This window comes from Homo sapiens, chromosome 7 (genome assembly GCF_000001405.40).
Source record: "Homo sapiens chromosome 7, GRCh38.p14 Primary Assembly".
Lineage (NCBI taxonomy): Eukaryota > Metazoa > Chordata > Mammalia > Primates > Hominidae > Homo > Homo sapiens.
In genome coordinates this window covers 156,936,480-156,949,448 of record NC_000007.14, presented here as the reverse complement: position 1 = coordinate 156,949,448, position 12,969 = coordinate 156,936,480, and the positions used below count along the sequence as shown (strand labels likewise).

At 51.4% G+C, this 12,969-nt stretch overlaps 1 long non-coding RNA gene and 1 other non-coding gene across 2 annotated transcripts, besides 2 other annotated features; one reads left to right on the top strand and one right to left on the bottom strand.

Moving 5' to 3' along the window:
- Nucleotides 57-585: an enhancer, noted in NCBI's record as "H3K27ac-H3K4me1 hESC enhancer chr7:156741558-156742086 (GRCh37/hg19 assembly coordinates)". NCBI's record gives its function as "activates a minimal SCP1, AML or CMV promoter by ChIP-STARR-seq in naive H9 embryonic stem cells {active_cell/tissue: H9 hESC(naive)}" and the evidence as "EXISTENCE:reporter gene assay evidence [ECO:0000049][PMID:30033119]".
- Nucleotides 3,665-6,892, bottom strand: LOC105375605 (uncharacterized). Its single transcript, XR_001745007.1, has 4 exons — nucleotides 6,833-6,892; nucleotides 6,491-6,721; nucleotides 6,144-6,339; nucleotides 3,665-4,869 (listed from the first exon to the last, which is right to left on the bottom strand). It is a non-coding gene; the product is annotated as an uncharacterized LOC105375605 (long non-coding RNA).
- Nucleotides 7,261-8,026: an enhancer, noted in NCBI's record as "H3K27ac-H3K4me1 hESC enhancer chr7:156734117-156734882 (GRCh37/hg19 assembly coordinates)". NCBI's record gives its function as "activates a minimal SCP1, AML or CMV promoter by ChIP-STARR-seq in naive H9 embryonic stem cells {active_cell/tissue: H9 hESC(naive)}" and the evidence as "EXISTENCE:reporter gene assay evidence [ECO:0000049][PMID:30033119]".
- Nucleotides 9,768-12,035, top strand: LOC105375604 (uncharacterized threonine-rich GPI-anchored glycoprotein PJ4664.02-like). Its single transcript, XR_928255.2, has 3 exons — nucleotides 9,768-10,261; nucleotides 10,659-10,708; nucleotides 11,427-12,035. It is a non-coding gene; the product is annotated as an uncharacterized threonine-rich GPI-anchored glycoprotein PJ4664.02-like (transcript).
- The last annotated feature ends 934 nt before the right edge of the window (nucleotides 12,036-12,969 follow it).

Below are 12,969 nucleotides of genomic sequence, written 5' to 3'. Positions count from 1 at the left end.
GAGGCCGAGACGGGTGGATCACCTGAAGTCAGGAGTTCGAGACCAGCCTGGCCAACCTGGTGAAACCCACCCACCCCCCTACAAAAATTAGCTGAGCGTGGGGGCACGCGCCTGTAATCCCAGCTACTCGGAGGCTGAGGCAGGAGAATCGCTTGAACCACGGAGGCGGAGGTTGCAGTGAGCCGAAATGGCGCCATTGCACTCCAGCCTGGGCGACAGAGCGAGACTCCAAAGGGAAATCCTCGCGTATGATGGAGGGGAGACTCCGCGCGGGTCGGCGCGGTGCCGGAGGTTGGCGGCGGCGACGACGCTGGGATGCGCGGGCCCCAGGTTCGTGTCCGCCCAGGACCCAGGAATGCGACCTTATTTGGAAATAGGGCCTTTGCAGATGTGGTCGAGAGGAGCCCTCGTGGGTTAGGACTGGCCCCAGAGCCAGCGTTCTCCTGAGAAGCAGGCTCTGGATACGGACCAGGGAGACGCCTGTGGCCCCCAGGCGGCCGAGGACCCCTGAGGAGCCGGCCCTGCCCAGGCTGGGTTTGGACGCTGGGCCCCGAGGGCAGAGCGTTTGAGGTTCCTCTTTACTGGGTAACTTGAACCGGGAAGCGAACGCAGAGGCCGCGCAGTTTGCGTCTGGATTTTTGGGAAGCCCGGAGGCGCAGGAGCAGCCTCGCCTAGCAGTGAGCTGGGGGAAGACGGGGCTGCTGCTGTGGGGTTCTCGGCCTGACCAGGGGCCGCTTCTCTTCCCGGACAGCTTCAGAAGCTTCATTTCCACAGAGTTCCCACCCTTGACTTAATTTAATTTAATTTAATTTTTTTTCTTTTTTTTTTCTTGAGACCGAGTCTCACTCTGTTGCCCAGGCCGGAGTGCAATGGCGGACCAAAGTGCTGGGATTACAGGCAAGCCACCGCGCCCGGCCCGTCCTTGACTTTAAAATGATTTAATTTTTGTCAACTTGTCAGCTCAAAATGGCATCTTGTCATTTAGTTCCTGATGAGAGTGGGTGTCTTTGTTCACTGGCCATTTGTATTTCCTCCTCTGTTTATGGCCTTTGTCCATTTTCCTTATAGGTTTTACGAATTTTTTTAAATATAAAATTTATTTAATATAAATTTAAAGTAGAGACAGGGTCTCCCTGTGTTGTCCAGGCAGGTCTCAAACTCCTAAGCTCAAATCCTAAAGTATTGGGATTACAGGTGTGAGCCACCACACCCGGCAAGGAATTCTTTACAAATAAAAAATTTTGAATAATCCTCTGTATCTCCTATGTGCAAATATTTTCCTCTCTCAAATATTTAAGGTACTTTAAAAAAATAAGTAATTTAATTTTTAATAAGCAATATACTCTATGTACAGGGTCCAAAATTCAAAAGGTACAAAAAGATATAAATGAAAAGGTCAATTTCTGTGCTGTGCCTGTCCACAAGCCACCCAGTTCTCCTTCCATGAAGCAGCAATATATCATTCTGAAGTGATCTTCCCAATAGATTCTATACTCAATGAAGCATAAATAGGTGTGTGTGCTGTGTCTCATGAGTGCTAGTTTACAAAACACTGTTCCACATCTTGCTTTTTTCATTTAACAATGTATCTTGTAGACCATCCTGCAGCAGAGGGAGGGACCAATGGACCTTCCCTGCCACCATCATAGCTGCCTGGATTATTGCAAAGGCCTCTGTCTGGTCTCTCCACTTTCATCCCCTCAACCCTTCAGTCTGCTCTCCACATAGCAGCCAAAGGCATGCTTTTAAAATATGAAAATAGGACCACGTGGCTGCGTGCCAGCTCACTCTCCAGGAACGCTGGAGGTCCTGCTGGATCTGCCCTCACCTCATCTCCTGACCCTGTCTCCCCTCTCTCCCGCCGCTTCCCGCCGCTTCCCCCCGCTCCAGCGCAGGCACAGGCTCCTGGTCCTTTCTGATCCCAGCCTTTGCTCAAAAGTCTCAGCGAGTCCATCCTGACAACCCTGTTTGAGGCTGCAGCAGCCTCAAAATCCTGTTTCCTGTCATCCTATTTCCTTGGCACTTCCCTCCCCATTTGACTTATGTGTTTGTTGTCTCCTTCTCACCAGGGCATGACTTCTGGTCTGTGGATTTGTCCCCAGGGTTAGTGGCACTCGGTAAATAGACATGAATGAATGGATGCTTTGTTATTTTTTATTGGCTGCAAAGTCAGTGATGGAGAGGCCGTCCATCATTTAGTGACACAGCCCCTGCTGATAGTTTTTATTCCCACACATTCATACTAAAAATGATGCTACAATGAATAGCTTTCCACACACAGCATTTCATGTGAGAGTACAGTTTAAGGGATATATTCTTAGAAGTGTGTGAATTCTGAAATTGATGGTGTGTATTTTGTAAATTTGATAAATATTGCTTAAGGACCATCCATGGAAGTTGCATCAATGAATGAAAGTTATGAAACTTATCTTTGCCAATTTGATGGAAGAAAAAAATCTCATTAAGTTGAATTTGCATGTTCCTCAGTAAAAGTGGAGCTGACCATCCTTCATATGCTTATGAGCCATTTCCATTTCATTTCTGCAAAATTGCGATTCATATCCTTTGCCCATTTTTCTATGGTTTATGACAGTCTTTTCTTACAGAAGCTCTTTACATATTAAGGAAATTGGCTCTTGTTCATGACATGTTGCAAATATGTATTTTTCTCTAGTTGACTAGTTTCATTTTTATTTTTTTGCCATGGACGATTAAAATTTCTTTTGCATTGTTAAAATTATCAGTCTTTATGACTTCTAAAGTTTTGTATTATACTTTGAAAGCTCTTCCCCACTCAAGGATTTTTTTTTAAAGATTCCCCCCCTTCCTTTTAGAGATGAAGTTCTCTCGATGTTGCCCAGGCTGGAATGCAGTGGCTCTTCACAGGCAGGATCATAGCTTACCATGGCCTCAAACTCCTGGGCTCCAGTGATCCTCCCACTTCAGCCATCCTGCCCAGCTATTTTTATTTTTGTTTTTTAAGGGATGCTATGTTGCCTAGACTGGTCTCAAACTCCTGGCCTCAAGTGATCTTCCCGCCTCAGCCTCCTGAGTATCTGAGATTACAGTCACGAGCCACCATACCTGGCTCCTAAAATACTTAATCTTTGACCAATGTATTTTTTATTTTGATGTATAAAACAAGGTAAGACCAACCTATTTTTTCCCCAGAAAATGCCAATGCCAGTACATTTTAATGAAAAATCTACCTTTTCTCCACCAATTTGAAACACCATCTTGATAATACAGCAGTTTTTAAAATGTATTTGAGCCTATCTCTGGGCTCTCTTTTTCCTAATCTTCCAGCATGTGTATGCCTCGGTGCTCTACTGCTTTAACTATTATGGCTCTATAACGTAGTTTAATATCAGTCTTCTCATTCCTTGTTACTCTTCATTTTCGTAATTGTTTTCTTTAGTGCTTTTGTTTTAAAAAAAACTTTATCTTTATTTTTATATATTTTTTGGAGACAGGGCCTTGCTCTGTTGCCCAGGCTGGAGTGCCATGGCATGATCATAGCTCACTGCAGCCTCGCCCTTCTGGGCTCGAGTGATGCTCCCTTCTCAACTTCCCAAGTAGCTGGGACTACAGGTGCATGCCACCATGCCTGGCTAATTTATTTTATTTTATTTTTTTAGTATAGAGGAGTTCTTGCTATGTTGCCCAGGCTGGTTTCAAACTCCTAAGTGCAAATGGTCCTCCTGCCTCAGCCTCCCAAAGTACAGTGATTACCAGTGACAGCCATTGCACCCAACTTAAAAAGCGAACTTTAGAATTAACGATCATCCATGAAAAATGCTGTTGGTATTTTAACCGGGGTTGTGTTTAATTTGTAGACTAAACTGAGATGAGGTCTGAACTGGTGGAAAGATGAATAGAATATTTATGATGTTAAATCTTCCTCTCTAAGGACAGTATATACCTTCCATTCATTCAGACAGTCTGTGTTCTCTTCATATAGGTTGTGCATACGTTTCTTGCAGAATTTATTCTTAAGTGTCTTATCACTCTGTTTTTGTCAATGGGATCATTACATCTTCTAACATGTATGAAGAGTGTGTGCTCATCCAAAAATCTGGGCCTCTGTTATTAGAGAACATGAAAAGAACAGATATTGGGGACAATCAGCTTTCCCTGTCCCAACCTTCTCCTTTCCAACTTTTATCTGTCTCGTTTTTCTCCGAATTGCCTCGCTAACTCCTGCAGCACAAGTGTCCTGGTGCCCTGGGCTCCCTGTCTTGGAGGAGGAGGAGGGGGAGGGGCGTGTCCTGGAAAAGGCGGGGGATGGGGGGACCCTGACTCAGAGGGGCATTTCTGATGCCTGAGAGGATGTGGGACTTCCCATGGACAATGCGGGAGGAGGTGAGGGCTTCTGAATGAGCCTGGCACATGGCACAGTGAGCTTGCCTGGCTGGAGTGGAGGATGGGCATCGGGCAGAAGGAAAGCCAAGCTGGGCAGCAAGAGCATGTATCCCACCTGCAGTGGACAGAAGCTGTGCAGATGGCTTCCCAAGCCTCGTCCTTCATCCTCACGGCAGCCACCATGTGAGGTGCAGACCACGTCTTCATTGTGCAGGGAAAGGCTCTGAAGCACAGATGGGCACAATTCCGCCTGAAGGCGGGCCCTGGTGTCTGCCCATCTATGGTCTGCGGTGGTCCAGGCTGAGTCTCCAGGGAGCTGGGGGTGTTTGGAGCAGGGAAGGGACCCAGAAGGAAAGGGGGGGTGCTGTGGAGTGACCAGGAAGAATGTGGGCTTTTTCTGTTTCCTGGGAGCTCTGGTGAGGTTTGTAGGTGATGAGCTCCCCCTCTTTTCCGTCCAGGAGCTGCAGGATCTGCCAAGAGAGGCTGGGGAGGTCCTGAGACCCTTCCCTGTCAGAGAAGAAGAGGCAGAGGGTGGCAAGGGCGTAAGCATGGCTTTCTCACCCATTCCCAGGGGACAGGAGGCATCGGGAGAGTGTCCTGCGTGGGGGAACTGTCAGAGGGGAGGATGACATCGTGCCCCCTGCACCTCCAGCCCCCAATAATGTGAGGATGCGCTAAGTTAGGGAAGTGAGGAAAAGGCCCCACTCCTCCTAGCAGATTTCTGAACTGAGGTGAGGTCTGAACTGGTGGAAAGATGAAATTTTGATTTCAGTCTAGCTGGAATTTATTTTAAAAATCTGCAAAGGATGCTGTTCTAAAGCTGAAAAGTGACTGGAAAAGCTCTGAGATGCACCTGGGGTGTTGTCTAGAAGTGGGGAAGGAAGCTCTGGCACAGAAGTTCGGGAAGTGTGGGGAGACAGAAATTCATTTCCCCCCATTCAGAGGGCCAGGCGCAAGTTTCTGCTGAACACTCTCCCGTCTCTTCCAACCTACACCTACAGCCCTGCATCTTCTCACTGAAAACATTTCCATCTTCTGGGTCAACAGCCGCACTTTTTGTGGTGTGTAGAAACGAGATACAGGGGCCCCCAACACCCAGTGTGTTGGGTGCTGTACAGGAGTGAGCGTTGGCGGCAGCCGGGGCTCGGCTCACCGCCTCAGGGTACTGTGTGTACACAGGAGTCAGGAGTAAGTCACTTTCCCAGCCCGTGAGGCATCATTTTAGAGCTGGTTTCTCTACTGTACCAATGTCCCTGTTCTGCCTGGCCTTTGTCTGCAGCCCTGCTCCCTTCCCTGGCTGTCACCATTCCAGGAGCTGCCCTCCTGTGCTCTGCACTGCTCCCATCCACCTGTCCCCGCCCCAGACTGTGGGTGGGAGCCCGACCTGCACTCTGGCTGTGCTGGAACAAAGCGTCAGGGCTTGGTCACCATCAGCCGCTGACCACGGTCTGCTCGGGCTGCTGGGAGACCAGGCTGTGCTGGGGAGTTCCCGGGGATCCTGGCGCCTGCCAGGAACCTGAGCTAGGTAGGTGGGAAGTAGTTGTGAGCAAGACTTACGGCCTCACGGTGATGGGAACAGGAAGGTTCAGCTGCCAGATGCACACAGAGTAGTCAGCAGCGCGGCCCTGGGCTCTCAGGCTTGGGGTGAAACCCTGATCTCCCCATTTCCAGCCACGTGGCCTTGCTCACCTCTCCAGCCTGGGTCTATCTGTGGAATGGGATGCGGTGGTGCCGACGCCACGGGGCTGTTATAAAAATGCTCGTTTCAGCTTGGAACTTACACCGGCCCTCCCCGTGCTCCCTGAGTGGCTGCTGTGCTGGGCCTGAGGGCTGCTTGCTCCTTCCCTCACTGTTCCCAAGCTGTCGGCTGCCCTCTGAGGTCTTCATTTGGGGGCGGTTGTACTGAGACGTCTGCGGACTCAGGCTCCGCGAGGGTGCGTTCTCCTGGGGTCTCAGCTCCTTGGTCTGACGGTGAGTCTTTCAGAGGCTGAAGGGTGACGGGCTCCACAAACACCTCCCCACACTGCTCATCCCGCAGGCTTTGCCACTCGGTTCATGGAGAGGAGCCTGGGGGGAGCCAGGATTCCCGTAGCTCCCAGCCTGAGAGGAGGGTGCCGGCCCGCCGCACCTTCAGCTGGGGCCTGTTTCTGTGTGTCAAGGCCGCCAGGTGAGTCAGCGGAGCGGGAGAGCTCTCCTCCCGCCCAGCCTCACGCCTGCCGCACTGGCTGAGCTCCCCGCGCCGTAGACCAGGGCCTCCCCCGGGGTTGCACCGCTGGTGCTCCCGGAACCCAGGCCCCTCCTTCAGTCCTCCTCCGCGACTCACTGGGGAAAAGGAGCCCGCAGCCTCGCTGCCATCCCGCTCCACAGGAACCCCATGAGTGAAAATCGATTACTTGCGCCGAGTGCTCAGCCGGGGTCTGGCGCACAGAACGGCTCAGTGGTTGGTGGTGAACTCCCTGAGGCCGCTGACCTGCGTGAGTTTTCTGTCTGTGATCGTTCTCTGAGGCCTGGCCGGTGGCCGCTGGGCCATCTGCGCTGGTTCTGATCTCCTGGGGTGGAGGTTTCTTTGCTCTGAAGCCAGGACTTCTAATACTTTGTGGGGGATTTTTCTTTTTTTTTTAGACGGAGTCTCGCTCTGTCGCCCAGGCTGGAGTGCGGTGGCGCGATCTCGGCTCGCTGCAAGCTCCGCCTCCCGGGTTCACGCCATTCTCCCGCCTCAGCCTCCCGAGTAGCTGGGACTACAGGTGCCCGCCACCACACCCGGCTAATTTTTTGTATTTTTAGTAGAGACGGGGTTTCACCGTGTTAGCCAGGATGGTCTCGATCTCCTGACCTCTTGATCCACCCGCCTCGGCCTCCCAAAGTGCTGGGATTACAGGCGTGAGCCACCGCGCCCGGCCTATGTGGGAGATTTTTCAACCGAAGATCCTAACATGAGGGAGGCCTAATGTGAGCATTTTTGGCTGCTCCCCACTTGAAAGACCCCTGCATCTGTGACCCTGCAGATGCCAGCGCACCTTGTCACCCAGTCGTGCCTCTTCACCCAGCGCGCGCCTCGTCACCCAATCGCGCCTCGTCACCCATTCGCGCCTCGTCACCCAATCGCGCCTCGTCACCCAGTCGCGCCTCGTCACCCATTCGCGCCTCGTCACCCAATCGCGCCTCGTCACCCAATCGCGCCTCGTCACCCAGTTGCGCCTCGTCACCCATTCGCGCCTCGTCACCCGGTCGCGCCTCGTCACCCAATTGCGCCTCGTCACCCATTCGCGCCTCACCCAGTCGCGCCTCGTCACCCAACGACACCTCGTCACCCAGCGCACACCTCTTCACCCAGCGTGCGCCTCGTCACCCATTCGCGCCTCATCACCCAGTTGCGCCTCGTCACCCGACACCTCGTCACCCAGCACGCGCCTCGTCACCCAGCATGCACCTCGTCACCCAATCGCGCCTCGTCACCCATTTGCGCCTCGTCACCTGGTCACGCCTCGTCACCCATTCGTCACCCAGTCGCGCCTCGTCACCCAACGACACCTCGTCACCCAGTCGTGCCTCATCACCCAGCACGCGCCTCGTCACCCAGCATGCGCCTCGTCACCCAGTCGCGCCTCGTCACCCAGTCGCACCTCGTCACCCATTCGCGCCTCATCACCCAGTCGCGCCTCATCACCCAGTCGCGCCTCGTCACCCAACGACACCTCGTCACCCAGCGCACACCTCTTCACCCAGCGCACACCTCTTCACCCAGCGTGCTCCTCGTCACCCAATCGCGCCTCGTCACCCATTTGCGCCTCGTCACCCAGTCGCGCCTCGTCACCCAGCACGTGCCTCGTCACCCAGCATGCGCCCTGTCACCCAATCGCGCCTCGTCACCCATTCGCGCCTCGTCACCCAATGACACCTCGTCACCCAGCGCACACCTCTTCACCCAGCGTGCTCCTCGTCACCCAATCGCGCCTCGTCACCCAGTCGCGCCTTGTCACCCAGTCGCGCCTCGTCACCCAATCGCGCCTCGTCACCCATTCGCACCTCGTCACCCAGTCGCGCCTCGTCACCCAATCGCGCCTCGTCACCCATTCGCGCCTCGTCACCCAACGACACCTCGTCACCCAGCGCACACCTCTTCACCCAGCGTGTGCCTCGTCACCCAATCGCGCCTCGTCACCCATTCGCGCCTCGTCACCCGGTCGCGCCTCGTCACCCGGTCGCGCCTCGTCACCCGGTCGCGCCTCATCACCCAGTCGCATGGGAAAGAGTCCTATTTCCACAGTCCTGGGTAAAGGGGCTCGGAGTGGGGAAATGGGAGGCTCTGCCACCTGGCTGGACAGGAGAGGAATGCAAACATGAACCAGCGCATTGATGATGCTGAGGTCGGTTTGTGGGGTGCAGGTGGCACACACTAGGGTCTGAAGGGCAGCAAGAGTGCCGGGCATGAGGAGACCTGCGTGAGACATGCGGCTGGCGAGGTGGCCAGGGCCGGGCGTGAAAGCTCTGCCGATCCGGGAGTGTTTTGTGTTTGTTCTGGGAGCAGCAGGAAGCATGGCCATGTTTTGGGTGGGGCGTGGGTGAGGGTGAGAGAGGGACAGTAACGGCATTGCATTTTCCGCAGGCCACCCTGCAGCCTGCAGGACCTTGCAATCCGGATGGGTGGACAGAAGGCTGTTGTATCCCAGAACGTCCCCCAGCCTGGAAAAAAAGTAGCCACTTGGGGCTCTGATTAGAACAGCTCTTTAAAAATAATAGCCCTGTAATCCCAGCACTTTGGGAGGCTGAGACGAGAGGATGACTTGAGCCCAGGAGTTGGAGACCAGTTTCGGCAACACTGGCAAAACCCCATCTCTAAAAAAATTACAACAATTAACCAGGTGTGGGGGCACATGCCTGTGGTCCCAGCTACTGGGGAGACTGAGGTGGGAGAATCGCTTGAACCTGGGAGATGGAGGTTGTAGCAAGCTGAGATCACGCCACTGCACTCCAGCCTGGGCGACAGAGTGAGACCCTGTCTCAAAAAAAAAGTAATTAAAAGTAATATCATATGTGATTTAAAGTATGACTTGTGGCCAGGCATACTGGCTCACGCCTGTAATCCCAGCAATTTGGGAGGCCAAGGTGGGTGAATCACTTGAGGTTAGGGGTTCGAGACCAGTCTGGCCAACATGGTGAAACCGCAACTCTACTAAAAGTACAAAAATTAGCTGGGCGTGGTGGCGCATGCCTGTAATCCCAGCTACTGGGGAGCCTGAGGTGGGAGAATTGCTTGAACCTGGGAGATGGAGGTTGTAGCAAGCTGAGATCACACCACTGCACTCCAGCCTGGGTGACAGAGTGAGACTCTGTCTCAAATAATAATAATAATAATAATAATAATAATAATAATAATAATAATAAAGTGTAACTTTTGACTCAGGTTCACAATTTTTTTGTTTTAATGCATCAATTTATTGGTCGATTACCTTAACATGTTGAGTTTTTTTTTCTGGTTGCAAAGATAATTCGTGATTATTATAAAAATTGAAATGTTACAATTATGTATATAAAATGTAGAAGGAAAAGTCCACCATAAGTTCTTCCTTCCAGAAATGCATATCTTTCTGGATATGTGATGTGTATATTAACTTGCATTATTATTTTTTTAAACCAATGTAGGATATACTGTTTCTGATGTTCCCGCTTGCTTTTGGTCATCTGGGTCCTGGCTACCTGGCGCAGGGCCCCAGGGTGGCAGCAGCTGTGCACCTGCAGGCTATGAGAAGTGCAGCCCCTCAGGCCCTCCCCAGACCCTGAGGCAGAGTCTACATTCTCACAGCCTCCCTGGATGATTCGCTTGCACACTGGAGTCGGAAAGTCTGGATCCCTCACTCTTTTCAGTGGCTTTATGGATGTGATTTATGTAACCAATCCGGTAATGGGGAATATTTTATTGTTTTCTTTTAACAACGTACATTTTTTTTATACTATTACAAAATGCTATAGTAGGCCAGGTGCAGTGGCTCACGCCTGTAATCCCAGCACTTTGGGAGGCCGAGGTGGGTGGGTCACCTGAGGTCAGGAGTTCGAGATCAGCCTGGCCAATATGATGAAAACCCGTCTCCACTAAAAATACAAAACTTAGCTGGGCGTGGTCGCGCACGCCTGTAGTCCCAGCTACTAGAGAGGCTGAGGCAGGAGAATCGCTTGAACCCGGGAGGCAGAGGTTGCTGTGAGGCGAGACTGTACTACTGCACGCCAGCCTGGGTGACAGAGCGAGACTCCATCTAAAAAAAAATGCTATAGTAAACTTCCCTTTGTGTATTTTGCAGAGTTGTGCAAATTTTACAAGAATTTCCTTCTGGAAATTGCTTAGGGAAAGGTAGGAATATTATTTTTAAATTTAACAGATAATGCCAAATTTCCAACCCAAAAGCTGTGCCGGTTTGCACTCCCAGGGAGAGTAAGCACCCATCCCCCACACCCTCCCTATACCGAGTGGTCTCAGGCGGTTTCGTCTTTTCCCAGTAACATGAGGTCAGCCTCCTGGAGAGGGGAGAAGCCCTGACTCCACCGTCCCCAAGTCCCCAAACTTCCCCTTCTTCAATGTCCCATTCCCCTCCTCAAATCATTCAGTGGCTGCATGTGTACCAGGAGTGCCGGGTTCCTTCATGCTTGGCCTTTAAGGCCATTCTGGACTCCTCCCCGCCCACCCAACACACACATTGACTACTTTTTTTAATTTTTTTTTTGAAGAGACAGGGTCTCACCATGTTGCCCAAGCTGGCCTCAAACTCCTGGGCTCAAGTCTCCCCAGTAGCTGGAACCCCATGCTGCCACAGGGCAGCACTTACATTGGCACCTTACCTGCCCTCTGGCTGGCACCCTCTCTGCCCCTCTGCCTCTGCTCTGCTGGGTGATGGATTCCCTGCTTCCCCAGGCAAGAGGCCTCCTCTGTCCTCCACTCCTGTGCCTGGTGCCCTGATGGGTAACCCTGACAATACGGAACTCTCTGTGCTTACCTCTGTCTCCCACATGAGACTTTGAGTCTAGCCCTCCGATTCCTATTCAACTGACTACTGTTCACATTTCTACCCCAGGGCCTATTTAAACTCCTGACATGCAGTCAGCACTCAGATGTTTGACGGGCAAGTGAGCAAACGAACAAATGAATGAATAAGTGCCTTAGAACACTCAAGGCAGATACACGTGGGCAGAAATGAACTTCCAGAGGCCGCCACAGCCTCAGTCGTTTCCTGTTGCAATATTGTCTATGGAATGGCTGAGCCAAGAACTGAAAGGTTCCGGTTCCTCTCCCCGGAGTTTGGACAGCACCAAGCTGTAGCAGTAGGGTCGTATGCAACACAGAGAAGGCCATTTCTGTGGGAGATGCTTCCAGTGGAACTTTGGAGTCTGGGCTGAGCTTGTCGACAAGGGTCTTGAGCCTGTTGTTTATTAGAATTTGGCTGCAGGGTTAGCTCTTCCTCTGACATGGTTCATCCCATTCATCAGATGAGTAAGGAGTTGTCCCCGGACTATAGACCTGCGCTGACATCTCTTGCACAGTAAAGAAAAGGAAAAATTCATAGTTGTATGTTGTGGTTTTCAGTATCTTTAGTTTACAAGCCAACTGTTTATCACATCAGGACATTGATCTATAAATAAATTTGAAAGCAGTGATACATCTGGGCCTTCGCGGGCCTCCAGTTGAGGCAATGATCTATAAATATGTTTGTCTGTGTCGCTGATCTTTTGTTATTAATGTTGCGGCTTTCATCGTGGTTATCAATCTCACCCTGATTACCAGAGTCTTTGCAAAACACTTTGTTCCCTGACCAGGCCTCGTTGGCCAGTTCTCACGCATTTGACTAACACAGTTATATCCAGTACTGGCTGTATTTCAGACGCATCATTCATTTTCACTAGCTCTTCCCGTTCTTTCTATCCACTTTCCTTCTTTTGAGTACATTTTTCTATTTTCTAGAGGTGCTCCCCTCATTTGTAGCAAATGTTACCAAATGCCCTCAAATTAAGAATTGCTATATTTTTGACGCTTATATACTTTACCTTCTTGATAGAAGTTATGCCTATTGGGGCAGGGCATTGTAGCTCATGCCTATAATCCCAGCACTTTGGGAGGCCAAGGTGGGAGGATCTCTTGAGCCCAGGAGTTTGAGACAAGCCTGGGCAACATAGTGAGACCCCATCTCTACAAAAAATGCAAAAATTAGCCAGGTGTGGTGGCATGGGCCTGTACTCCCAGCTACTCGGGGAGGCTGAGGTGGGAGGATCCATTGAGCCTAGCAAGTGGAGGCTGCAGTGAGCCGAGATCACACCACTGTACTCCAGCCTGGGTAACAGAGCAAGACCCTGCCTCAGGAAAAAAAAAAAATTATGCCTATTTTGTTAGTTGTGTAAGACTTCTCATTATTTTGTTGTGACTTTCTTTGTTTTTGTTGTGTCTATGCCAGGCAGTTTTGTATTCTCGCAGGGTAATCTTACCTGGAGGTGGTTTCCCATTCACATTCTTGCTTGAGAAGATTCACCCTAATGCCTTGTACTTGCTGCCGGGTTAGCCAACATTGGACCGAGGGTGTGTGCTGCTTTTACAGGACTTACAAAACTCTGTCTTTTGGCTGGGCA